Genomic DNA, 27294 nt, shown 5'->3' on the forward strand with positions numbered 1-27294 from the left:
CATGCCCTCCCTGGAGGCCTGCTCCCTAAATTCTCCACCTGGCCTTGTAGCTGCTCACCAGCCAGCCCTCATCCACTGAGACCTCACTCTGTGCCAGGCCCTGGGCTGAATGCTGGGGACAAGGGGGCAAAAACCAGCTCCTTGCCCACCCAGAGCCCACCATGCGGTGGGAGGAGGCAGACATTTGAACAAAAGACATTAGGCGGCTTCCACCTTAGGGCAAGAGTGGATGGGGCTTAGAAGTGTTGTGATGTAGTTACATAAGTCTGGGTTCAAGTTTTAGCTCTGCCACCTACTGGCTTTGTGATCCTGGGTAAGTAACTGAACCTCTCTGAGGATGAGTTTCCTTATCTGTAAAACTAACAGCAGCCTCATAGTTTTGCTATGAAGATGAAATGAGATAATATAGGTAAACATCTAGCTTTAGTGGTTCTCAAACTTTCTTGCCCATTAGAATCACCTGGACAACTTTTCAAAGTCCAGATGTCCATGCTGCACCCCAGACACAATCAAATCTGAGGCTCCGAGGATGGGGACTGGGCATGAGTATTTTTTAAAGACTCCTCCCCATGGGATGCAGAACCATGTTTGGACTGTTGGCCGCTGTTCATGGTGCTGGTAGTGGTGGTGCAAATTGTAAAAAGTGGCCAGCCCAGATCCTAGAAGAGTGGCTACTTATTGTAAATGCTCCGTAAAATGTTCACCCAGCCATAAGCAGTAGATCACTGGTTTCGATACTGAGTACTGTAGGACCTCAGGCCAGGCATTTATCTATTCCAAGACTTTAGGCTGTCTTTCTCATAACAAAACTGATGGGGGCAATCATTGGGATAATCATCTCGGGCCGTTGTAAATAGTGTTGCAGCAGGGACAATTTTAGACTTCTGAGTATATGTTTAGAACATTAATCAGCACCTTCCTTCTCTATAAAAAAAAAACGACTTTGCTCTGTAATTTCTGTGTCATTCCCAGGCCACTACAATGGATGGAGTTAACCTCAGCACCGAGGTTGTCTACAAAAAAGGCCAGGATTATAGGTTTGCTTGCTACGACCGGGGCAGAGCCTGCCGGAGCTACCGTGTACGGTTCCTCTGTGGGAAGCCTGGTAAGCAGCCCCTTGTCGGGGACACAGATGCAACTATGGCTCGGTTCCTTGAACTGGCAGCTATGCAGGCAACTTCCAGACCTCTCAGTGAGACAGTGCTCCCAAAGGAGAGCACTTTTGTGACACGGGAGCAGTGGGAGGATCCTTGGAGTTGGCAGGAGACAGCAGAACCCCACCCTGCCCATAAGCCTTTCAGGAAGGGGAAGGGCCTGGTCCAAGGCAGTCAAGGTACAAATGGACAGAGCTGCCCTCCCCTGCAGAGATGTGCAGTTCTTTGCCTCTTTGGGTGCTATTATTTTAAATCCAGTACCTAAGGTGCTTGTTAGAAGAGATTGGAAATGGTCGGGTTGTTCTCGGAGGCACTTGGCCATCTCCAGAAGGCAGTCATTAGGAATGAAAGTTTAGGGGGAGAAGTTTATGGCTACCGAAAATAATAGTTGAGAGGAACTATATTTGTTTTACATCTTGAGCAAAGTGGGTGGGGTGAGGCAGCCACATTTAACTCCAGCTAAGAAGTTAGTGGAAAATTCCCCCGCCCAGAGCTAATGAATGGCTCTTTTCTGGTAGGGTTTTTGTTGACTTCAAAAACCTTTACCAAGAGTGGGATGGAGCAAGCCAGTGATCTGGGTTTTGGATAGGCAAACCTGGCATTTAGTTATTTAGGGAGGGGAAGGGAAAAAAGAGGTAGCCAAAAGTTTGCCAAGAGCAAAGGGCTCTATCTCAGTCTTTCCTGTTTTGGGTTACAGTGAGGCCCAAACTCACAGTCACCATTGACACCAATGTGAACAGCACCATTCTGAACTTGGAGGATAATGTACAGTCATGGAAACCTGGAGATACCCTGGTCATTGCCAGTACTGATTACTCCATGTACCAGGCAGAAGAGTTCCAGGTGCTTCCCTGCAGATCCTGCGCCCCCAACCAGGTCAAAGTGGCAGGTAGGACTTTTACTAATCCCTTCCTAGACTGGATGAATCTGAAAATTGTTAGGCTTAAAGTAAACTGAAGTTACAACAAATCTGTATCAGTCAGCTATGGCTGTAATAATGCTGCATAACAAAAAAAATCTTAAAACTTCATGACAGGTCTTTATTTCTTACTCATGTATCTGCAGGTTGTCTAGGGATCAGCTTCTCTAGACTGAGCCTGACTCCAGGCTGAGAGTTGGGTTCAAGTCACTTCCATATGACTCCCATTCTTCCCAAAACATATTCTTCTCACGGGGGAGATTGCAAACTCCTAGTGGTGAGCAGAAACACAGAACTCTTAAGGCCTAGGCTCAAAGATGGCACATTCTCACACATTCCATTGGCTAAAGTAAGTCACATGGTAAAGCACAACACAAATAGGCTAGGGAAGCATATGTCTGTCACCAAGTTTGAGGGGGAGGAAGTGAATATTTGTTAGACAGTTATTCAATCTACTACAAAATTTTTAATCTCTTGTATCTGTGAGTTTGGGGTTTTTCTTTTTCTTCTCCTAAATCTTGATTTAGATGTCCTGTAATTTATGTTATTGGAGGTTACTGGAATCACAGATTGTTGAAGGTAAAAAGAGACTTCAAATATAATCCAGGTCAATTATTCTTAGTAGGGGGAGTTATGTATCAATTAGAGTTCTTTGGCTGTTAGCAACAGAATCCAACTTGACTATCTTAAGCAAAACAGGAATTTATTGAGAGGCTATTCAACTTGGAGAACTAAAGGATAAGCTGAATAACTAACCTCCAAAAGGACAGGGAACAGGGTAGCTTCTGGGATCTGGGTAGCAGGAACTAATGGACTGTATCCTTAAGGCATCATCTTTAAGAACCATGCTTAGGCCATGGGACATAGTGCTCAAAAGTCACCTTCCAGGGAGAGAGCATCTGCTTGGGCTGGTGGCTTGTGTGCTCACCCTTTGGCTAGGAAAGGCAGGAACAGTCATTGAAAGTTCTTCTAAGACTGCATTAAATGGATAAATGGCTGTTCCGCAAAGGAAAATTGGGATATATTACCAGAAGAAAGGGGAATCAGAACTTAAGAGGTGTTAAACGTATCACATGCTACAGGACCATACCACCTGGAGGAGTATTAGAATATGGGGTTGGGAGAAAGACCATGGATTGAGAAAGCGTATCCAATATACTCACCATATCTATTATTTTGGAAAGAAACCCACAGAACATAAAATTCAACACAATCTTTTTGGCTGCCTGAGATGTGCTTGTGGAAGAATCTGTGGAGGCAAAGTTTAAAAAATCTGAGAACACTGATGGAATTCAGTCCCCTTATCTTAACACTCATGGGGGAGGCGGACCTAGAGGTCATGTGGTGGAGGCAGTCCACAAACAATGCAGCTGTGATGTCAGGGTGCCCACCTTACACCTCAGACCCTGAAAAAGAAGGCTTACGTGTTTTGGAGGGAGATGGTAATTTGGTGAGTGTAGCTAAAGAGAGGGAAAGAAGCAGCAGCTTGTGGGTAGAGGCCAAGATGACTAGACATTTGTTCCTTGACAAAGTAACAGAGTCTGCTTTTTTAATTGACAATGTTTGAACCCCTACATTATTTGCAAAAGGTTTCAGGGTATCTTACCATAAACACAAGTCCAAGTAAATCTGGCAATGAGGGTAAAAAAGATGGAAGGAGAATAAATTCAGCAAAAGCAGAGGGGGAGGTGACCGAGATTAGCAGAAGAGCAGAAGATACTAAAATAGACAATAAACTTTATCTCTAAGCTACCTGGAAGCCAGAGCAAAGAAAGAAACCTCACAAATTACTTAACTATCATTATCCACTGAAAGGAAGGCAACAAGGAGCCCAGAAGACCAAGAGGGACAACTTTCTCAGCTGTGAGCCACTGAGGAATTTTCCACAGGGGTTTTCATATGAAAGATATTCACAACAATGTGAGCAGCAATGCTGGGAGCAGTTTTATGCAAAGATGCTCTGTGTGGGGCTATTTGCAGTTTGACTCCTAATAGTAGATGGGGACATGCTGTTGGTCACATTCTATGAAGACGTTTTGAAGAAGACATTTTTGGTTTGGGTTTTGTTTGGCAGAGGCAGAATAGAATAAAGAACATGGGCTTTGGAACAAGACACCTGGAATTTGGGTTCCAGGAATGCCAGTTATTTGCTGTATGACCTTAGACAATTACGTAATCTTTCTTTATGTCAGCTTCCTCATCTGTAAATGGAGATAATGATTGTGGCTATTTCATGGGATTGTTGTGAGGATTAAAGGAGTTTGTATATGTGAGGCACTTACAATATTGCCTAGCACACAGTAAGTGCTTAATGAATGTTAGCTCTTATTATTACCATTAGGTGCAATAATTTAGCAGCTATGCTTAAAGATGGGAAAGGAGGAAGGGGTGTGGCTAACAGCAATTTATACCAATTCTGCTCCTTTGGGACATGCAGGTAGAGGGTGTTGTAGTGAGAGGGAAACAAACTATTTCTATCATTATTATTATTGTTATTGCTTTATAGAGACAGAGCCTCACTATGTTGCCCAGGCTGTTCTTGAAATCCTGGGCTTAAGCGATCCTCCCTCCTCAGCCCTCCCAAAGTGCCAGGATTACAAGCATAAGCCACCACACCCGGCTATCATCATTATTAATGAACATAGGTCTGTCATAGGCCTGCAGCTATTTCTCTGCATGTCTCCAGTGCCTCAAGGTGTGGATGCCATCTCTGTCAGTGTGCATGTTGCACACTTCCCCCACCCTTAGGCTGGGCAGGTGGCCTTGCCCCACCTTTCCTCCACAGGGAGGTGGGCAGGAGCATTTCATCATGTATTCAACAAGCCATTAGAAAGCACATACAGGCCGGGCGCGGTGGCTCACGTCTGTAATTCCAGGACTTTGGGATGCTGAGGCAGATGGATCACAAGGTCAAGAGTTCGAGACCAGCCTGGCCAACATGATGAAACCCCGTCTCTACTAAAAATACAAAAATTAGCCGGGTGTAGTGGCGCGTGCCTGTAATCCCAGCTACTCAGGAGGCTGAGGCAGGAGAATCACTTGAACCTGGGAGGCGGAGGTTGCAGTGAGCCAAGATCATGCCACTGCACTCCAGCCTGGGTGACAGAGTAATACTCTGTCTCAAAAAAAAAAAAAAAAGAAAGAAAGAGAGAAAGAAAACACATACAATGTGCCAGGCAATGTGCCAGGCTTGTATATGCCATGGTGAGCAAGATAGATGCATTCCCTGTCCTCAGGGAGCCTGCAGTCCAGCAGTGAAGATAGATATCCACCAAAGTATTGTTCCAATCAAAATAGAATTCCAATATAGAATGATGACAACTGCTATCAAAGTGGAATATGGGAGGTGCTGGGAGTATAGAAAAGGGAGATTTGGCAAAGACAGATGGGCATGTGAGTCTTCCCAGAGGAATGAGTGACTGAGCTGAGACAGAATAGAAGCTACCTAGGGAGAAGTACTGCCACAGGGGAACATAAAGTTGAGGGGTGCATGAGGCGTTCCAGCTACCAAGAGGCCGGAGTAGCTGAAGTAGAGAATGGGAGGGCTGCATGGGGCTCGAGAGAGAGGGAGGGGCCATGGTGCAGTTAAGGGCTTTATTCTGAGTGCACAGGGAAGTCATTGAAGGGCAGAAGCCTACTGGATATCCCCTGGCAGGGAAAGACCGTCTAGATTTGTGTTTATAGGAGGGAGCCAAGAAAAGCAAGTTCCTAATGATTGTTAAACCCTTGGGTCTTCACTGAATGACTATGTGTCACCCAGGGACAATTGTGAAGAAGCCTCTGGGAGGTCAGATGTCCCCCTGGACTCTTGGCAGGAGTGGCATTCAGACCATCTGAGCTGATGTCACTGCTCACTATAAGATGATCCATGGGCCTGGGGTAGCATTTGGACTATTTAGGAGGGTGAAAGCCTGACCGTGAGCCCTTGCCTGCATGGAGGTGGGAGGGCATGCCAGGGAGAGGTGCTCGGGGTTTCTTGAGACCAGTCCCCATCTGCACCCCAGGGTGGGTCACCCCAAGGCCTGCACGGGAGTTCTCACTTTGAGCAGGTCCTGACAAGGCAGCTGTGGTGCCGAGGGTGGCCCTGAGAATGGAGAACCTTGTGTGCGTCAGAGCATTTCTGCCTCAGCCTACAGTGGGGTTGGGGTGTCCATGCAGGAGAGCTGCTCTTCTTGATCACGTTTGACTGCCTGGGTCAGCTGCTTCTGGAGGTCCCTGAAGGCTGGACAGAATGCAGGGGGGCAGCTCCAGGCCCCGAGTACCAAGCGGGAGAGGATAAGTGGAGAAGATCCTGCGCCCACCTCAACGCCCTCCACTTTCCTTGGGGTTAGCACTGCCTGTGCTTGTTTCCGCGTTAGCCCCACCCCAGCCTACCTCCCTCCCTGAAGGACATTCGGCTCGGAGCAGCCACCTCCTTTGCCCTGCCGAGGAGCTGTGAGGCCCCCATGAAAACAGCAGCCCCTGGTGAACAGCACCAGAAAAGCCCCAGGTAGGGGTGTGTGTGTGTGTGTGTGTGTGTGTGTGTGTGTGTGTGTGTGTGTGTGTGTGTGTGTGTGTGTCTGTGTGTGTGTCTGTGTGTGTGTGTGTATTTTGTGTGTGTATTTTGTGTCTGTCTGTTCTGGAGAGGCTCACATTCCTCCTATTCATCCCCAAGCCCATTCTCTGGCTCTCCATCTCCCTGTTGACAGGATCAAGGATTCCACCTGCTTCTCCCTTTTCTGTGAGCCCCACCCACCCACCTAGGGACACAGCTATCTCTTAGGCTTCTCTTCCCCAGGCTGGCTGCAGACACGGACACGATCTCCCTGGGTCCTTCTTCCTCATTGCTCCCAGATTTCATTCTACAGGACTGTTTGCATTTCCCTTAAGGCCTTTCTGATGGGAAACAGATGGGGGTAACATAGTAATGAAAATGCATGAATCATCTAAAAAAAAATTTCAAAATTTTGTCAACCACAGTATGATTACCAACACCTCACAGTGTGGCAGTTGGAACTCCCCTCCCTTGATTTTCCACCCTGTTGTCTTTACCACCTCCCCACTTTGCCCATAAACACCCCCCACATCTTTAAAGAATGCCACTATTAGCTAGAATTAACATGAATTTCGTTTTCTGTGATATTCCAAGTACTTCACATAAACCATCTTGTTCACTCTTCACAACAACCTAATACAGTAGGGGCTACTGTTTTCTTCATGACACAAATGAGGAAACTGAGGCTCATGGAAATTAAATATCTAGACATTTAATTTCCAATATGGTGGCCACGAGCCACATGTGGCTACTTAAGTCTAAATTGGATTACATTACGTTAAAAATTCTATTCCTGGCCAGGCGTGGTGGCTTACGCTTGTAATCCCAACACTTTGGGAGGCTGAGGTGGGTGGATCACCTGAGGTCAGGAGTTCGAGACCAGCCTGGCCAACATAGTGAAACCCCGTCTCTACTAAAAATACAAAAATTAACCGGGTGTGGTGGCAGGCACCTGTAATCCCAGCTACTCGGGAGGCTGCAGCAGGAGAATCGCTTGAACCTTGGAGGTGGAGGTTGCAGTGAGCCGAGATCGCACCATTGCACTCCAGCCTGGGGGACAAGAGTGAGACTTTGTCTCAAAAAAAAAAAAAAAATTGATTCCTCAGTCACAGCAGCCAGGTTTCGTGTGTCCAGTAGCCACCGGTGACTAGTGGCTACCATACTGGACAACGCAGAATAGAGCATTTCCTTCATCACAGGAAGTTCTAGTGGGCGGCACTGATGTAGGTCAAGCAAGTCAACAGCTGAGCCAGGATTTCAACTCAGCTTCATTCTCCCTCAGTGAAGGCCCTTGTTCCCAAAGTCTCCACCTGAAGATGACTGTGAGGAACCTGGGTTTAAGTTTGCTTTCTGGGGCCCTCCAGCTTAAGTCCCTCTGGGCTTGTCCTCATACCCGATCTGAGAAGGTCAGGCCCCATCTCCCTCTCCACCAGACTCACTGAGTCCTGCTAGGTCTGAGCTACATGTGCACACTCTGGCTCCCTCCATTGGAAGGTCTTTGATGTTTTTTCTTCTCTTGACCCTGGGGTACCTAGCACCCTGTGTACTCTCTAGAGAGGGATCTGGGGGTTGTGGAAGCAGGACACCTGCAGAGTAAAGACTAGGGAAGGGTGACATCTGCAGCCCTGTGTAGGGCAACTGTGCAGAGCCCCTCTGCTTCCCAGGCCTCCTCCCCGCTCACCCAGGTGCTCATGGCTCTTCTGGATTATTTGAGACAAGGCTAGTTTGGCCACATCTGCTTTTCCCTGGTTGGGCTTCACGTATCAGTACTTTGAGGAGGAAGGGAGGAGTGGATGCTGGTGGGAGAATTCTGAGGCAGGATGGGGTGCGGGGGAGTCAGGCACACACTGTCCCTCATCTCTCGGATAGCAGCCTGGGAGTGGCCAGTGAAGGCGGCAGCAGGACAGATAAGGTGGCTGCCGCAGCTAACAGCCATGGCCAGGTCTTGTAAAAGGTTCTGATAGGAAGCTCTGCAGCCGGGAAGACGGCTGTGGGACTGAAATATTCTTGCAGCTCTCAATCTGACTTATATTTCCTTGGCTGACGGGAGTCTGATAAACACAGTGCCTCCACCTACCTGACAGTCACTCCTACACCCTGCCCAACTTCTCCTACGGAACAAAGAAAGATGCCAAATTTGCTATCTACCAACTCCCATTATTATAGGTGTGAAGCCAGTGGTGGGAGCCTTGGGGATGGTGCTAGTGACAGCTGCAGGTGTCATTTCTGTTACACTAGCCTCCTACCATATGCCAGGGGCTTAATTTCTAAGCACAGCCCATGGATTAACTCATTTAACAATCACAGCCAACTTTTGAGGTATGTGCTATTATTATCTCCATTTTATAGATGAAGAGCCTGAGGTTCCAGGAGCTTAAATATGCTCAGGGACTCACAGCTGTGAGCTGAGTTGGAATCTGACCCTCACAGCCTGGCTCCAGAGTCACAATCCTCCCCATCACATTATCTTACCTCTGCAGCCACGTTCAAGACCAGATCCCTGAGGAAGGTCCTCTGGCCACCTACAAGAGCAGAAGCCTCTAGTCAGTGTCCTTCCTGGACACCATATTTTAAGGTGGATGCTGGCAAGTTGAGAGAAGCACCCAGAGCACCAGGATGCACGTGCTGTAAGGGATGGTTGGAAGACGAAGGATGAATGTCCTGGAGGCGGGGAGGCTCGGCCTGGTTTCCTGGCTCTGCTGAGCACTGCAGGAACTCCCAGAAGGAAAGACTAACATTGAGTGTGGTCAGGGAGGACATCACTGAGAAGGAGGAACTGGAGCTAAGTGGGACAAAGTGGAGAAAGCTTGCTGCAGGTAGAGGGAGATACACGCATGGAAGCTCTGAGATGTAAAATAGCAAAGGCATGTTCAAGGAAGGATGATGGTCTGGTCTGGCCAGAACAGAAGAGGGTATGTGGGAGTGATGAGATGAACCCACAGGAGTTGGAGTTTCACTGTGTCAACCCCTTAGACTGGTAAACGGGGAGCTGAGTTTTGCATGGAGACCTCTTTGCCATCCCCTGCCTGGCAAGACTGAGCCTGTTGCTCTCTGTGCCTGTTCCCTCAACATGCTCAACCCTTTGGGGAGTTTGGGAAGTCTGATTCCTTTCCTTGGTGAAGTTTGCTGTGTGCTCTCAGGATCCACTCAGAAGCCAGTGCAAAGCTCTGTTTCAGAAAGATTCTGCCCCCCACACCTGGGAAGGCCCCGTAACTGAAGACCACAGAGCTGATGGATGGGAGATGAGTCACGGATGGAAGGAAAGGTTTTTCTGTGGGTGGCCGGAAGGAGCCCTGCTTCTGGATCTTAGAACTGTAAAGACACATGGCTCTGTGGCCCAAATGAGAAGCCATGTTCAGTGGGCTGCCCTGGAGGAGGGGGCTCCAGCATTCTGCAGAGTTAACTCATTTCATATCATTTCCCCTGGTTGGTGTCAGAACCCTGGATGAAACCAAAGGCCTGACAGCTTCCACGTGTGGTGTCCACTCCTGACCCCTTTGGCAGGGCACAGAGCTTTTTGGCATCTGCATATCAGGGAGTAAGAGTCCATTGCAGTAAATGAAATCTTTCTAAGATTATTATTACTTAAAGTCTGATACTTGTTTAAAGAAGGATTCTGTGCTGGGTGTGGTGGCACCCACCTGTAGTCCCAGCATTTTGGGATCCCCAGGCAGGAGGATTTTTTGAGCCCAGGAGTTCGAGACTACAGTGAGCTGTGATCACACCACTGCATTCCAGCCTGGGTGACAGGGCAAGACCCAACCCAGTATCTGAAAAAGAAGGAGGACTCTGTGATAGATGGAATAATGACCCCTAAATATATTCATGTCCTGATCTTCAGTACCCATGAATGTTAGCTTATGTGACAAAAGGGACTTTGCAGATGTGGTAAATTAAGGTTCTGGAGATGGGAGATTATCTTGGATTATCTGGGTGGGCCAAATGTGATCACAAGGGTCCTTAAAAGAGGGACACAGGAAGGTCAGAGTCAGAAGAAAGTGACGTGATGACAGGGGCAGCGACTGGAGTGATGCACGTTAAAGATGGCGGAAGGGGTCATGAGCCAAGGAACACAGGCAGCCACTCAAATCTGAAAAGGGCAAGGAACAGATTCTCCTCTGGAGCCTCCATGAGGAACCAGCCCTGTTGACACCTTGATTTATCCCCGTTAGATTCATTTCATACTTGTGACTCCCAAGGCTATAAGAGAATACATTTATGTTGTTTTAAGCCCCTAAGTTTACGGTAATTTGTTACTGCAGGATAGGAAACTAATACCAACTCCATAGGAGATATTTTCTCAAATTTGCCCTGCGTCAATTTCACATCTTGAATAAGATACTTCAAAAAAAACCCCACAATCTCACTGAGTCTGCAGAATCCCAGAAGAGTAAACATCCCTAGAAACACTGCAGGCATACAGGATATGCGCAGGGTGAAGGGGCAGGCAAGAGTCAGCTCTTCCTGTGGAGGAGAGAGCAGGACAGTGTCACTGGAGTGGGTGTTACTCAGGGCTAATTATAACCATGGCCTTCACATGTGAACACTGGCAGTGTCTGGGGGCTGAGGCCAGTGCTCCATTGCTCCAGTTAAGATCACAGCGAAAGCCAAGCCGTGTAGGTGGTGTGGTTCAGGCTGGGTATCCACATGGGAGGTTACTGCTGTCTGTAATTGTATCCTCAAATGGAAGAGAAAGTATCCATAAGCCAGGTCAGCAACCTCAGTGAAGAGCCCAACGAATTTAGAGCCCGCCTAAGATCTCTTTATTCCATAAAAGAGTGTGGGATTGTTGTGGAGGCAGAATTTGCGGCTATAAATCAAAGGCAGTTCTAAAGTTTGAACTCTTGTCACCCTGCACCGTTCTTGAGATGCATTTTCTGCACAGAGTGGGGAGGAAGGGACTGCATTTGGCAAGAGATTGAGTGGAGTGATGGGAGGGAGAGAATGGAGAGAAAACAGAGGGGTTAGGTGCAGACCACAGGTTCAGGGGCTCTGATTACAGCAGGAGAAAGACTGGCAATTACTAGGAGGGGTAGCAGAACTGGAAAAGGTCTTTTGTTTGTTAGTTTTTTAAGGATGGGAAGGTCTAGAGAAGTTTGAAGACGGAATATAAGGAGCCCAAATGAAGGAAGAAATGAAATCACTAGTGGAGGGAGTCCAGGGCCTTAAGGATATGGAAAGGGGTAAGACTGGGGGTCAGTGCACAAGTCGGGAGAGCATCCTCTCCACCGACACCAGAGGAAGGGTGGGGGATGGTGAGGAGCTCAGTACAGAGTTGGGTGGAGGCCGTTCTTCACTGCTCCACGTGGTACCATGGAGGCATCCAGAGCCAGGCCACAGTGGTGGATGCAGAAGCTCCAATCTGGCTCTTTCTGGAGCCCCAGGCTGTAGATACACACTCTACATGAGGCTGAGGTAAGCAGAATAGGGATTTGCCTGCTTTAACAGATTATGAATTTGCACTGCTGTAAAGCAGGGGCTTTAAAGACAGAGGGGTTCTGTTTTATCTTCCTAAGATCGGCAATCTACGGTATCATCCAGAGACCAGGTTTCTTCTCTCCCGTTGCTCTGCCATCTCTGGGGCATGGTGCTCACCTGCATGGGCGAGGCTGGCCTGCCAGCCCCCAGAAAAGAGCAAGAGGAGGGCAGTCTGGAGGTGGCACTTATCACTTCTCAAACCTTACAGCCACACCTAACTACAGGGAGGCTGAGAAATGTCATTCCCTTGGGTGGCCCTGTGTCCAGCTAAAATGCAGGAGTCTAGGACTGAAAAACAGAAGAGGAGACAAATATTAGGGGACAATTAGCCATTTCTGCCAAAGGCTTCAGACCTAAGCCTGTGTAACTGTGAGATCTGGGTCTGCATGCAGGCGTGTGACTTCACCTCCCTGACCTTCATCCTTCTGTAACATGAGACCACTGTGCACACCAGGCATGGCGATGAGTAAGCAGCAGCCATGGAGGCACCTGGCAGGGGCCCAGAACTCAGTGGGCATGCAGTACCTGCTGTTGTTTACCGTCCTCCCTTTCTGCCCTAGGGAAACCAATGTACCTGCACATCGGGGAGGAGATAGACGGCGTGGACATGCGGGCGGAGGTTGGGCTTCTGAGCCGGAACATCATAGTGATGGGGGAGATGGAGGACAAATGCTACCCCTACAGAAACCACATCTGCAATTTCTTTGACTTCGATACCTTTGGGGGCCACATCAAGGTATGTGTCTCTCTGGCAGAGTCTTTCAACCCAACCAGGAGAGTTCCTATGATGTCAGCCTCTAGACGGGCCTTCTTGGTAGGGATGAGGGTGGGGGAACAGGAGGTGGGATCAAGGGGAGGGCGCCTTCTGGAAGTTTGAGAAGTCTTATGTATTATCCATTAGTGTGCAGCTCCCCCCCCACCAATATTTGGGAATAAGAGAGATGATGGAGCTAACTCAGCAACAAACAGCTCTCTGCTCTCGGCCACGTGGTACACATCACACTGTTTCAACATTGCCTTCATTCCTTGTCTTCATTATTTCATGATTACTTCATTATTGCCCTGATCACTTCCTAAAAGAACTAGCATTTAACTTGCAAAAGGTCACATTTACAATGGATCCATTACCATATAGATAAAACAATAAGCAGGTGAGAGGAACTAGAAGTCACAGCATTGGCTGGGCGTGGTGGCTCCCGCCTGTAATCCCAACACTTTGGGGAGCCAAGGCGGGTGGATCACCTGAGGTCAGGAATTCGAGACCAGCCTGGCCACCATGGTGAAACCCCGTCTCTACTAAAAATACAAAAATTAGCTGGGCTGGTGGCGGGCGCCTGTAATCCCAGCTACTTGGGAGGCTGAGACAGGAGAATTGCTTGAACCCAGGAGGCAGAGGTTCAGGGAGCCGAGATCTCACCACTGCACTCCAGCCTGGTGACAGAGTGAGACTCCATCTCAAAACAAAAACAACAACAAAAACAAAAAGAAGTTGTAGCATTAAATTTACCTGTGAGTTTCCTGGCTAGAGTCAAGACAAAGAAGAGACATAGTGAGCTGCAGGGTTCTTACCGCACAATATAGGAAAACGATACTAATTTACTGGTGCTTACGTTTTCCTAGTATTAAGCTCAAAGAGGAATTTCTTTTATATCACAATGCAAAGTGCCTTTTCCAGGCATATTATATTGCTTAAGATACCCACAATTTCTTCATGTGGTAATTGGTTTCAATGCCAATAGCATAATATTACCTCAGAGTTTTGCTAAGACAGTTCTCGTAAAGCTAATATCACGCACTTTAAGGATAAGACTTTTTGGTAGTGGAACTGAAGAGACAAATGGAGTGAAACTTACAGCATTCACAATGGGGGCCCTACTGGCATTTTATGTGAGATGACTCTTTGTCACATAGGCCTATATTATAGGATTTCTATCATCCCTGGCCCCTACTCATTCAATGCTAGCAGCGCTCCCCAGTTATTATCACCACCAAAAACGCTTTATATATCCAGTCATCTCCTGGGTATAGGGTGGGGCAGAGGTGATGGTACTGTCCTCAGTTGAGAAACTCATTAGTGATACTAAAGCAGAAATAGCAGGTCTATGTCACACAAGCTGCTATAGCCCCCTTTTCAATCCTGAGACCAGTCCCTGAATGATCAGGGGACTCTTTCCCACTGAGCTCAAACTAGCCCTCAGAATCATTCTCAACACAGCTCTCCAGGGCCGCTACTACTGGAGTTGACACTCCAGTTGACACCTATTTTTGGAAGAAATGGTTAGCATGCCAAGACTATCCTTCTTTAGTAGAGGTTAGCTGAGCCTGACTTTTGACAGGATTCATTTTCAGACTGTGTTTTCATGGTAGGCACCCTGGAGGGCAGGAGTTCCGTGTGGTCAAGAGGTTTTCTTGAGCCTGAAAGAATGGGTCTATGCATATCGTGAAGTGAGTGTGTGGCATTCCCTCCACTCACACACATGCCACCAGAACATGGGCTCATGAAGATTCCAGAGTCGGTGTTCCCTTTCCCTTTGCTAGGAGAAGGTCTTGGGTGGGAGACAATGGCAAAGGCTCTTGCTGCTCCATACTTCACTGTAACCTGGATTCCCCATGGTCATAGGGCATGCTTTTTGCCAGCCCACTCCTCCAGATTATCTCAGAGTTATCCCTTGCTCATAACACTTGATGGTTTGGGAGACAGGAAAGGAGGTTCAAAGTGAGCCCCAGCTATAGCATAGCTCTTCAGAACATCTCATTTCTAAGCACTCCATTTCCTCACAATGTCCTCTGTCATTAGCAGTGCCTTGCCTGTCTTCCACAGTATAAGAAGGGCCAGGCATTCTAACCCATTTGCAGAGAATATCTTTGATTTACTGAGTACTAAGTGGAGACTGACAAAGAACAATGCCTCTGCATCTTTGGAATATGGGCACCAGCCAGGGAAATCACAAAGCATCTCATGGGCTCCTCTGACTCTCGGTTCTCCTCTCCTAGTTTGCTCTGGGATTTAAGGCAGCACACTTGGAGGGCACGGAGCTGAAGCATATGGGACAGCAGCTGGTGGGTCAGTACCCGATTCACTTCCACCTGGCCGGTGATGTAGACGAAAGGGGAGGTTATGACCCACCCACATACATCAGGGACCTCTCCATCCATCATACATTCTCTCGCTGCGTCACAGTCCATGGCTCCAATGGCTTGTTGGTAAGAACCTCCTTCCCTCAGGGAACTCTGGGGATGGGCCATGGATGGTTAGCACTGGAGGGGTGTTTGGATGTAGACACTTAATCCAGGGCCTTTGGGGATTGAACCATCCTTAGTTCAGGTTTCAGAAAGATATCAACTGGGAGCAGATCACCAACCAAACAGGAAGGAGAAAATAGAGGTTTGTCCTTACCAAAGGTACCAAGCAGAGATGGGAGAGTGATTACTTTGTGGTGGTTTCTGGGAGTCCAGTTTTTCCTGTACTTCATTGGCATCACATGAAATCTGGAGATCATTCCACGGCCACACAGCATGACAGCTCTGCTAACTGCAGACAGGGGGATCATGCGAAGACCCGGCTGTGGTATCTACCCAACAGATTTGAGATGGTGACAACAATGGGCTTTTTTTCTTCTGATGAACCAAGTGTTCCTTCAGAGCAAGTGCTGCTGGGAGAAATACTCTCATTAACAAATTGGCATGTGTATCAGAGGCTTGTCTTGATTTCCACAGATAATTTTCGTACTAAATTGACCTTTCTCGAAGTGAACTACATTTCTATCCTCTGTAAAGTTTAACACTGGACATCACAAAATGGTACCCCGCAAGCTGAATCTAGCAACCAGATATGTTTTGTTTGGCTTATACTGTGTTTAGAGAAACATTTGAACATTTTTACACTAAATTGATAATTTTACACTAAATTGGACTTTCTTTAAATGAACTACACTTTATATCCTCTATAAACTTTAAAACCGGATGTCACAGAATGACACCCTTTAAGCTGAATCCAGCTACACGATGTGTTTTGTTTGGCTTAAATAGTGGTTAAAGAAACATTTGAATTAGTTTCCATCATTTAAAAATTAAGAGATTCTACATAAAAATCTGGATTCCTGGCTTCTTTTGAAAAGTAGGATGAGTTGGCAATGCCCATCCTGCCTCCCTGCATGGCAACAATGGCTTAGAGCAGAGTCAAGGCTGCCTCCCCTAAGACAGGTGGGTGGGCATTCTCCAGTGTGCAGCAGGCCTACCGTGGCTGTTACAATTACTGTAAAACCCCAGGCCGGTGCCACTCCTTTCATTGCCTGCTGGTCCCTGTGGGCATTTGAGTTTGTAAGCACTGCTTTAAACCAAGCAGAGCGAGCCTCGCCAACAGGCATATGGTTATGGGAAAATGAGGAGGCTGTCTGTGTGACACTAGTGTGGTTCTATTTGATGTACTCTTCTATTATAAAGGATTGTCTGTTGTTTCTGTGTTTTAAATGCTCTGATTTAAAACCTCCCACTGAGTAAAGAGAAGAGATCATCGGCTTTGGAGCCCAGTCTAGGGGGGCCTGGGTTCAAGGGCTTGATCCACAGATTGTGAGCTGTGGGACCTTGGGCAAGTAGCTTAACCTCTCTGAACCTCAGTTTCCTGCTCAGTCAAGTGGAGAAACAACACCAAACACATAGGGCTGTCGTGAGGATGAATGAGATGCAAGTGGGTTTCATGTGGAGATGCTGTCCACACATGAAGGCTGATTCTCCCCAGCAGGTGGTAGAGGACTGTGCTGGAGCCATTGCTGGAAGATGTAGGATTTTTTTCTGTCTCAAGGAAAAAGGAAAGGAGAATGTTTTCTGGCTGAAGCTGAAAGACATCAAGATTTACAATAAATTCAGAATGTCAGGGATAAGCATGGGCTCTGGAGCCAGACTTCCTGGGTTGCGATTGGAGTTCTGCCGCTTACAAGCCATGTGATCTTGGGCCAGTCATTTTACTGCTCTGTGCTTCTGTAAAACGGAGAGGATGGCACTGCTTACCCTACATGGTTGCTTCCAGGATTGAGCAAGCAGAGAACATGGAAAGCATGGAGCCCAGTGTGTGGCCCACACTTTGCCCTGGGTGCAGGTCTCAGGTCTGTCCTGCTCCCTCATGCGATTTGCAGAACCAGTGCAATGGATGCAGTCACACCTTTCTCACACAGGGTGGTGATGGAGGTCAGGATACATGGTGAAGAGAACAATGTAGAATTGGTTAGGAAAGATAACAGGCTTCACTGAGTCTTTGGAGCTTTACTTGTTCTAAGCATTTTTGTTGAAGTTCTATTCATAAATTTAGCTTAAATTCACCTACATTTAACTTTACTAAAGAGAAAGATATTAAGATTACTGGAAGCCTGTAATTACAGATCTGGAGCAGTTTGAATGGAAGCTGTTGTGAATCTCAGGGAAAATACACCACACACACACACACACACACACACACACCCTGGAGTGTGGTTGTGTGGCTGTGCTTTCTCACTCACTTGCTGTGTGACCACTGGCAAGCTACTTGACCAGGCAGGTCTTCAGTTTCCTCACACGTGCTGTGGAGAATGTGATGGCTTCCTCTCAGGGTGGTTCAGTTAGAAAATGCCTGTGAAATGTTTTTGGCTGTCTTTGGAATAGCAAACCTTTCTCAGAGTGCTGAGCCCAGGTCTTAGCTGCAGCAATGGACTCAAAAAGGGGGAAGCGGCACAAGAATGGCTGGTGGCAGGGGCATAGGCCTTGGGCACTCTAGGACACCCAGCAGGGCAGTGTTGAGAGTGAGCATCCTGGCAGGGCTGGAGGCTGGGAGAGGCTGGGATTGCTGGGAGAGGCTGGGAGAGCTGACAGAGGCTGGGATTGCTGGGAAAGGCTGGGAGAGCTGGGAGAGGCTGGGAGAGCTGGGAGAGGCTGTGATTGCTGGGAGAGGCTGGGAGAGGCTGGGAGAGCTGGGAGAGGCTGAGATTGCTGGGAAAGGCTGGGAGAGCTGGGAGAGGCTGGGAGAGCTGGGAGAGGCTGGGAGAGACTGGGAAAGACTGGGAAAGATGGCATAGGCCTTGAGCCAGGAGTGTGAGTTCATGAAGATAGGCTGGGGGAGTGAGAGATGCGTGGGGCAAGAGGGAAGGCAGCAGTTCAGGGGTAGCCCATGGAGCTGTATCTGGAGCAGCCACGTGGGTCACTTCTACCCACAGTGGAGGTGGACTCTTGTAGCCAGAGCTGTGGACAACCTCTCAGAACCAGAAGACCCTTGCTGCCCTGTATGCCAAGGTCTCCCTCCGGCCTGGGTCTCAGGGATGCCAGCTGCAAACTGGGAGGGCCATTGTACAGACACTAGGTGGCTGAGGTACCAGTTACAGCCTGGTCTTGGTGGCCACATAGAGGTCCAGCCTCACTCAGCTTGATGGCCAAGCTGGTGGGTTAGGATTTGGAGTCTGCAGGCCTTGAGGCCTTCCCAAGGTAAAACCAAATTGTCCTGGCTTAGAATCTAGATGAAGTGCAGGCCTCTAACTCTTTAAGCCAGACAGACAGCAGGGTAATGGAGCACATTCCAGTGCCCTTCCCTAAGATCTCCAAGAGCCATCCCCCGCATGGGAATTGGGTTTATGGATTGGCACCTCACCCTGTAAATGCTCCGCCACTGGGGCAGAGATTTCCACATTCGGAGATGCTGCCTTGGGAACTGGATGATCTCCATCAGTATTTTACATTTGCTTCCTTCATTTTGGCTTGAAGGATTTACTCACGGCTGACTATGTTTGGAAAGATGTTTTTAGCTGATGGGACAAAAAGAGGCCAAATACAGACAAAGACGAGATCCTGATTTGGAATGCAGAGGCCACTCAGTAGCATCACAGAAGCCTTTTTCCTAAACAGCATCCCTGATCTGAAGGAGGAAGAGATTCCAGACAAGCAGATACTGGCTCGGGAGAAAGAGGGATTTGTAGGTGTGCAGAGCTGAGAGTGCCTTAAAGCCTGGCTCTGGGCTGATCCTACAGTGTCCTGGTAGCCCCTAGCTCATGAGCTCCTCTCTCCCTGCTGCCTGTAGACAGGCTCTGATATCCTTTATCCTCAGAGGACAGCTTCCCTCATCCCTAATTCCCCCGTGGGCAGCCACCTTTGCTCTTTCCCTTTCTTCACCACCAACTCTTGGGAAGGGTGGTCTGAAATTCCTCCAACTCCTGCTTCTTACTCCTGTCCTGACACAAATGTGGCCTTCTCAACTTTTGCTCTCTCTGAGCCTTGGTGATGGTTCTCAACAATGTCATTCAAAATGTCACCACCAAGCTCAGCAAACCCACTGCTGTCTCTCCTGCTTCATTCAACTCCTAACTCTTTCTTGATATAACAGTTACTGTGGGCTTCAGTAGAACATTGAGGTAAAAGAGCATAGAGTCACAGAGACCTGTGTTTTCATCTGCCAGTATGGCCTTGGGGGACTGATGGAAATTTTGTGGGACTCAGTTCCTTCCTGTGTGAAGGGAGGATGATGACAGAACTGAGTTCAAAGGGTCTTTAGGAAGATTAAACCAGATAATGTATGTGATATGGTCAGCAATGATATTAAATAGTATTGCTTATTAAATAGTATCACTGTGTGCCTCTGTATCTAACTGTGTTCTGTGTAAACATCGCTGGTTCTGTGAGATAGTAGCAAGTATCCAAACAAACAAAAAGACACTGGCCTCTGTAGTTAAATGACCTTGGCAAACACAGCATACATGCCTTCTTTCCCTGTTTTGGAAATTCACGATGCGTGCTAGCAGAGTAAAGGCTTGCAATAAAAATACATGCTTAGCTTTGGTTATCCTAGCGATGCCTAAACTCATTCGCATCTTACAGAGCTGGTGTTCCGTAACACAGTTTGTAACAGAGAAGCACTGGAAAATGCTTCTCACTACATTGATACTGTCAGTGGTGTCTTTCTTGAAATGCAATGGTTAGCACCAAAGCTGCAGGATGCAGGCAGATGTGGGGTGCAGTCTGCCTTCAAAGGAAGGCTCTACAGTATCTGTAGGCTGGATAGTGGGGGTGGGGGATGCAAAATGGGCCCCCACTTCATCTTAACATGTGTTTCTGAACTCTGAGGCAGGACATAGGGGGATTCACCTTCCTGTTTTTCCTGAAGGAAAGTAATGGAATGGTCCAGTACTTTTGTGGAAGGACAAAATGACTTCAATATGGGTTCTGCTTGTTTCCTCCTCCCTTCCCTCTTTAAGGCAGAGAATGGGAGAAGATACCATGCTCTTTCCTTCTTTTCCTCCTCGTGTATTGCTCAAAATGTGCTATCTTTGACATAAATGCTTCCAATAGCCACAAGATGCTTGAAACCAGGATGTCCCCAACAGGCTGCCACATGTGGCCCTGCAGGTTGTGCCCTGCACTGCTCCAGGGGTGCCATCTATATGGACTGCAGCCAGTCCCCAGGTGCCCCAGCCCCAGGGACACATCCTCCCTCTGGCATTCTATGAAAGATGGCTGAGCCCCCTGTGTCTTTGGCAGGAAATCCAGGGCCCTCTCTCCTGGACTCAAAGCTCTGGGATTTGTGGGAGAAGCTTCCGCTTTTCCTGGTTACCTCCCTCTTTCAGTTTCTTGAATTCACATTCTCAATTCTTGATTCATGTAGCTGCTCTCATCTTGGAACTGCTCAACAGGTTCACCTTTCCTGCTACTTAGACAGAGCTGATTTATCAAGACAGGGGAATTGCAATAAAGAGTTTAATTCATGCAGAGCTGGCTGTATGGGAGACCGGAGTTTTTTTTATTACTCAGATCAGTCTCCCCCAAAATTGGGGGATCAGGGTTTTTAAGGACAATTCGATGGTTAGGGGGTCGGAAAGGGGGAGTGCTGATTGGTGGGGTCGGATATGAAATCATAGGGAGTCAAAGCTGTCCTCTTGTGCTGAGTCAGTTCCTGGGTGGGGGCCACAAGACCAGATGAGCCAGTTTATCAATGTGGGAGGCACTAGCTGGTCCATTTAGTGCCAGATCTGAAAAATATCTCAAGCACTAATCTTAGGTTTTACAATAGTGATGTTTTCCCCAGGAGCAGTTGGGGAGGTTCAGAATCTTGTGGCCTCTAGCTACATGACTCCTAAACCATAATTTCTAATCTTGTGGCTAATTTGTTAGTCCTACAAAAGCAGTTTAGTCCCTGCGTAAGACGGGGGTTTGTTTCGGGAAGGGACGGTTATCGTTTTTGTTTCAAAGTTAAACTATAAACTAAGTTCCTCCCAAAGTCAGTCTGGCCTACGCCCAGGAATGACCAAGGATAGCTTGGAGGTTAGAAGCAAGATGGAGTTGGTTAGGTCAGATCTCTTTCACTGTCATAATTTTCTAACTCTTATAATTGTTGCAAAGGCATTTTCAATCTCTCCTTTCCATATGAGCCCAAATATGAAACCCAGACTCTTGTCCTTGATTTCCACAAAAGTTTCATTGGCCCAGGGCTTTTACTGGTAGATTGGGGTAAGAGATGGGAGGGAGAGGGGGTACATTACAGATCAGCACCGAAACCAACACTAAGAGATGGAGTAACAGGTCCCTCTATAGACCAAACGCTTCCCCCCAGGCTACTCCCTCCCCAACCTGGTTGTTGAGTTCTTGCCCCTCCTCCTCATTCTCCCATCCTCCTCCCCACCTCTCCTGGGCTGCCTTAGAAACTCATTCCTGTCCTTGTTAGGCAGAGTAATTTGGTTGTCCGGGTTTTTTTCTTCCACCCAGTTTTAATCTGCATATTCAAAAACTCATTAAGACACTCTGTAAAACAAATAACCCACCACCATACTCTATGGCAATCTTCTTTTCAGCAGTTCAAAAAGAAATTTTTTAAAAAGTAATGGCAGAAGATTGGAAATTCCAGTCTTCTTTATAACATGGCTGTATTTGTTGTCGAGTTTTTCATTAACATAAATCATATCATACCCACCCTAGAAGGCAGAAACAAGTAAAGTTCACTTCTATCTGCATTTGTTTGTTTTAAACAGCAGTTTCTTTTACTTGCTGTATACAGGTTGATGGTGGAAATCATTACATACAGATATGTCCTGATTTGCACAGAATGGTCCATTTTAGACGTGTTGTCCCAGCTTAACTACTAATCACACCTCCTTCACTTCAAACGTGTCCTGGTTCAGATCATAAACCAAATAAAATGGTCACACCCTCCCCCGCCACTGAAGCAGTCGCTACTGGCTCTTTCTAGCTCTTTGTCAGGCAGAGCCCAGGAGTTTTCTCCTACACAATCTTATGCCTGGACCACACGTAACAACAACTGAAGACTTAAAACAGTGTTCAGGAATTGCTTTCACGACTGCCGACCATCAGCAGGAAGGAAGATATCCAGAAGGACAAAGAGAAAAATACAATTTGTGCAAGAGAATGGGGGGAGAACTTACATATTACTTCTGGTTGGCATACATAGGGACTGAATGGCCACCCGTGAATCTATATGCATGTTTGTTTATGCAGCTACTATTTATGTATCTGCTATCTGTCTATCCATCTATCTATATCTATCTATCCATCTATCTACATCTATCATCTCAAGCTATGTCACAGTTTAAATATTTAACACTGGGTAATGTTCTAAGGAGGAACAATCCCAGAATTTTAGAGCTGGAAGAAAATTTAGACGTCATCCCATCACACAGGGACACTTAGGCAAGTCACACACAGCAAGTTTGTGGCTGAGTAACTTGTGTCTTCTACCCCCACCCGAGGGCTGTCCTCGGCCTTATCATGCTTCCCTCTTGATTCTGTGTGTCATCGTCACCCCACTCCTAATGAGAAGAAAGAAATGCAGCCCAAAGTGAGAGCGTCTTTTTCTTTCTGGCATTGTTGAGTATTGATTGACACACAGGTTATGGACTCAGACAGATGGGGAATCAAGTCCCAATTCGGTCCATGCAAAAGAAGTGACTTGGGGCAACTTTCTAAGTCTGCGTCACTTATAGAATCGTAGTTGTGATGAGGTTTAAATAAGACAACATGTAAAAACATTTGGTATCCAATAAACAGCGGTCATTTTTCTTCCTTTCAATGAGGCTTTTTCTCTCAGGAGGGAATTTTTTTCTCTGGCATTTTTTAGAATAGGAATATACCTAACTCATTGTTTACTCCTATTCAGAGAAAGACTACCCAAAGTATGATCCACACAGTAGAGTAAATGGATCCCTAAGATTTAGAAAGAGCTATGGGCAGGAGGCAGGAGGCAGGAGGCAGGAGGCAAGAGGCCTGAGTTTGATCACAGCTGCAGAATGAGGTTGCTGAGCATCCTGGGACACTCCACATCCCTTCTCTGGGCCTTGGCATCCTCCTCTGTAAAGTTGGAGGCATTAAACTTGACCTCAGATGTTCTGGCCAGCTCAGGAAGCCCACATTTCCTTGCCTTTTTCTCCCATGCTTGTCTGTCCAGGCTATTTATAACAAACTTTTAGGGCTTAATAGGAGAAAGGAAAGCAGTCCCATTGGCTGACCTTGATATTGATTGACTTATTAAACAGGTGAATAGGATTCAAGATCACACCCTTGCCTATTACTAAAGATGAAGGGAAGGATGTTTATTCAGAAGAACAGAGAGCTTGCCTGGAACAGAGCTACTTGCTTGTATGTTGGGTTCTCCCATATGGAGTGAGTGGACACAGAAAACCATGCTTTCTGCCTTGACCTTGTACATATGGCTTATGTGACCTTTGGCAAATCACTTGCTTTCTCTGAGTCTCGTTTTCCTCGTCTCTAAAAAAAAATTAAAATTGAATAGAGGATGGTGTGAGATTTCAGCAAGATTAAAAGGTATAAGAGGCCAGTCCACTGCTGGGATATGGAGTGTGGTCTGATGATCCTTTTAAAGAATGGCTGCCTGGGAGTTGGGGAGTAGGCGGCTGTCATATGAAAGACCCTGGGCCAGGTGCAGTGGCTCACGCCTGTAATCCTAGCACTTTGGGAGGCCGAGGCAGAAGGATTGCTTGAGCCCAGGAGTTTGAGACCAGCCTGGGCAACATGGTGAAAGCCCATCTCTACCAAAAATACAAAAATTAGTCATTCGTGGTGGTGCAAACTTGTAGTCCCAGCTCCCCAGGGGGCTGAGGTGGGAAAATGGTTTGAGCTCAGGAGGCAGAGGTTGTAGTGAGCCGAGATCATGCCACTGCACTCCAGCCTAGGCAACAGAGCCAGACCTTGTCTCACAAAAAGAAAAAAGAAAAAAAAAAGACTTGAAGGAACTGTGATGTCTACATCAGGGCCTCTCAATCAGGGATGATTCTGTCACCCTTCCTCCCTCCTACCCAATGGAATTTTTGGCAATGAATGTCTGGAGACATTTTTGGTTGTCACAACTGAAGGGGTTTTCCTGGCATCTAATAGGTAGAGGCCAGGGAAGCTGCTAAACAACCTGCAATCACGGGACAGCCTCTCAAAATGTTCACACAGTGCCAGGGTGGTAGGTGGAGGATTGTTGCTGGTCGGTATGTGGATTTTCCAGTGCTTGGCATGGTGGCAGGTACTGAATAGGTGTGGGTTGAATTGATGTCATCGGGAATCAGGAACTCCCTTGGTGGATGACATCATCGGGCAGTCTGTACCCAGGGGTGGGGATGAAGGGTGTAAGATAAGTGAGGTTTTTCTCACCATTGCCCCACTATGGAACAGGCCACCTTGCAAGGAAGTGAGCATCTCTCTGGAGTGTCTGAGCAGAAGCAGGGTACCTGTTTGCCAGTTATGCTTGGGAACAGAGTCTGGGATTGGACAGGGGGGTGGGGCCCAGGCTACAGGCCCTCTGAAGACCTGAGTTCTGAGATTGATGAGTTTAGAGATACAGACACAGAAGGGGCTTCAGAGATCATGGAGTTCAAGTCCTTCATTTTTGCGGTGGAAAAAAAAGTGACTGAAGAGAAGATAGGAGGCTTGTCTAAGATCCCCGCGCTGCTTGGATGTGCTGCTGAAACTGCATCCCTGGTATCTCAATATCCATGCAAATGTTCTTTCTGCTTTCCCCACTAACTGTGTGATTCCAAGAAGGAAACCAAAGAGCTGGAGTTTGCAGCCCTTTCTAGTTCTGAACCCAGGCGTTGCAAATGTGGCTTGATGCACGTCTTGGGCTGACAAGCTGGCTTGGATTTCTGAATGAGGGTACAATAAGGAGCATCAATATTGGTCTTAATAAAAAGCACACCTGCCCCAGCTCAGGTGCTGCTCCTAGATGAAGTTCCCTCGTCCACCCTTACTCAGTGGGATCTCCTCTGTGGAGTCCCTCCACGGTAAGTCCTTGTACACAGGGCACTCAGCTGTGTGCTCCATCAGGGTGGGTGCACGTGGCCCAGCCCATGGCCTCCTCTTGGATTCACCTTCTCACGTATGATATCTTGCCCCCTTTCCTACCCTATAGAGCCTCACCACCCCCAACTCCTCCAGCTGGAAAGGACTTTTAAAAGTCACCATCCCTGGCACGGCGCGGTGGCTCACACCTGTAATCCCAGCACTTTGGGAGCCCAAGGCGGGCGGATCATGAGGTCAGGAGATTGAGACCAGCCTGGCCAACATTGTGAAACCCAGTCTCTACTGAAAACACGCAGAAAATTAGCTGGGTGTGGGGGCGTGTGCCTATAGTCCCAGCTACTCGGGAGGCTGAGGCAGGAGAATCACTTGAACCCTGGAGGCGGAGGTTGCAGTGAGCCAAGATTGTGCCACTGCACTCCAGTCTGGGCGACAAAGTGAGACTCCATCTCAAAAAAAAAAAAAGTCACCATCCCATGCTTTGTCCCACTTTCCCCAGGCCTATCACTTGTGTCATCTTCATCTCCAAACCTCCAGTGCTCCTCCCAGGGCCTGGTGTACGGCTGAGACTATTTAGTGTTTGTTGAATGAATGAATGAGCACATGAGACTATTTAGTGTTTGCTGAATGAATGAATGAGCACATGAGACTATTTAGTGTTTGCTGAATGCATGAATGAGCACATGAATAACTGGATGCTTGGTGAAACACCCCTGTCTTGACCCCTGCAGATCAAGGACGTTGTGGGCTATAACTCTTTGGGCCACTGCTTCTTCACGGAAGATGGGCCGGAGGAACGCAACACTTTTGACCACTGTCTTGGCCTCCTTGTCAAGTCTGGAACCCTCCTCCCCTCGGACCGTGACAGCAAGATGTGCAAGATGATCACAGAGGACTCCTACCCGGGGTACATCCCCAAGCCCAGGCAAGACTGCAAGTAAGTGCCTGGACCCCTCTCTGTGTGCTGGGGGGAAGGGGTGTACATGTGTGTGCATGTGTTCACTCAGCTCAGCCCAGCACCAGACTTCTGCACTTCGGGGCTCTGAGGAGCTTGGGCCTCACAGCCCTTAACCACCTACGGCTCCAGCTTCCTGCAAAGCAGGTGGGAGGGAGGGTGTCTTCTCCCTTCTCCCTTCTCAGTTTGCCTCATGTGCATTTTTCTTGTCCAAAGAGGATCCCTGTTCTCATCTGTGGGGCTTCTCCTGATCCACACAGTGCTCTTTGATGAGAGGAAGTGGCTGACACCTCGCCTGCCACAGAGGCCCCGACCACACAGACCCTTTTCTAGATATTAGAGAGACAGAGGGACGGGGTGAGAGCTCTCTGTGCAGTCAGCCTTCCAAGTGCAGGGCCCCTCCCTTAGAAAGGGCTACTTTCCTGGGTTCTTCTGACCTGCATGTATTTTAGAGTCAATCTCAGACATCACTTGCACACTGCTTCTATTTTCAGGACCCATGCTCTTTTTAATTTCTGAATATTTTAAGTGCTTAAACTAGCACCACACTTTAATTAGAAAACTGGGTTTCAGATCAACAAGTCAATGATTTCTCAGATCTCTGATAAGAGACTATCAGGCCAATATCAGAGTGCCCAACCTGCACCTGCCATGTGGCAGGATGACCCCTGGCGGCCCTTTATCTGATCTCAGGTATCTCTGCCCTCCCTGCAGTGCTGTGTCCACCTTCTGGATGGCCAATCCCAACAACAACCTCATCAACTGTGCCGCTGCAGGATCTGAGGTGAGCAGAAATATTCCTTCTTTGGCAGAAAGTGAGGGTGGGGGCTGGAGTCAGGGAGACAGCCGAGGCTTACCTTGAAACATGTGTGCTCTGAGCCCCAAGCCCAGATATCCATGCAGACGGGCTTAGCTGTGGTGAAGAGGAAAACGACAGACTGGGGGTGGTGGGGCAGGGGGCGTTCTTTGGACTTGGTTTTAAAGGACAGCCCTG

At 47.7% G+C, this 27294-nt stretch overlaps 1 protein-coding gene across 10 annotated transcripts in view, besides 1 other annotated feature; it reads left to right on the plus strand.

The window, feature by feature from the left end:
* The window catches only part of CEMIP (cell migration inducing hyaluronidase 1), a 172402-nt gene that overhangs the window by 114648 nt on the left and 30460 nt on the right, over positions 1–27294 (plus strand). For all 10 annotated transcript variants that reach the window (XM_047432894.1, XM_047432897.1, XM_047432893.1 and 7 more), the window contains 6 exons: positions 973–1105; positions 1852–2043; positions 12646–12821; positions 15080–15289; positions 26077–26282; positions 27015–27084. In XM_047432894.1, coding sequence (XP_047288850.1) covers positions 973–1105; positions 1852–2043; positions 12646–12821; positions 15080–15289; positions 26077–26282; positions 27015–27084 — 987 coding nt within the window. The remainder of the gene's footprint in view (positions 1–972; positions 1106–1851; positions 2044–12645; positions 12822–15079; positions 15290–26076; positions 26283–27014; positions 27085–27294) is intronic.
* Positions 17449–17964: an enhancer, noted in NCBI's record as "H3K27ac-H3K4me1 hESC enhancer chr15:81203807-81204322 (GRCh37/hg19 assembly coordinates)". NCBI's record gives its function as "activates a minimal SCP1, AML or CMV promoter by ChIP-STARR-seq in primed H9 embryonic stem cells {active_cell/tissue: H9 hESC(primed)}" and the evidence as "EXISTENCE:reporter gene assay evidence [ECO:0000049][PMID:30033119]".

This window comes from Homo sapiens, chromosome 15 (assembly GCF_000001405.40).
Source record: "Homo sapiens chromosome 15, GRCh38.p14 Primary Assembly".
Lineage (NCBI taxonomy): Eukaryota > Metazoa > Chordata > Mammalia > Primates > Hominidae > Homo > Homo sapiens.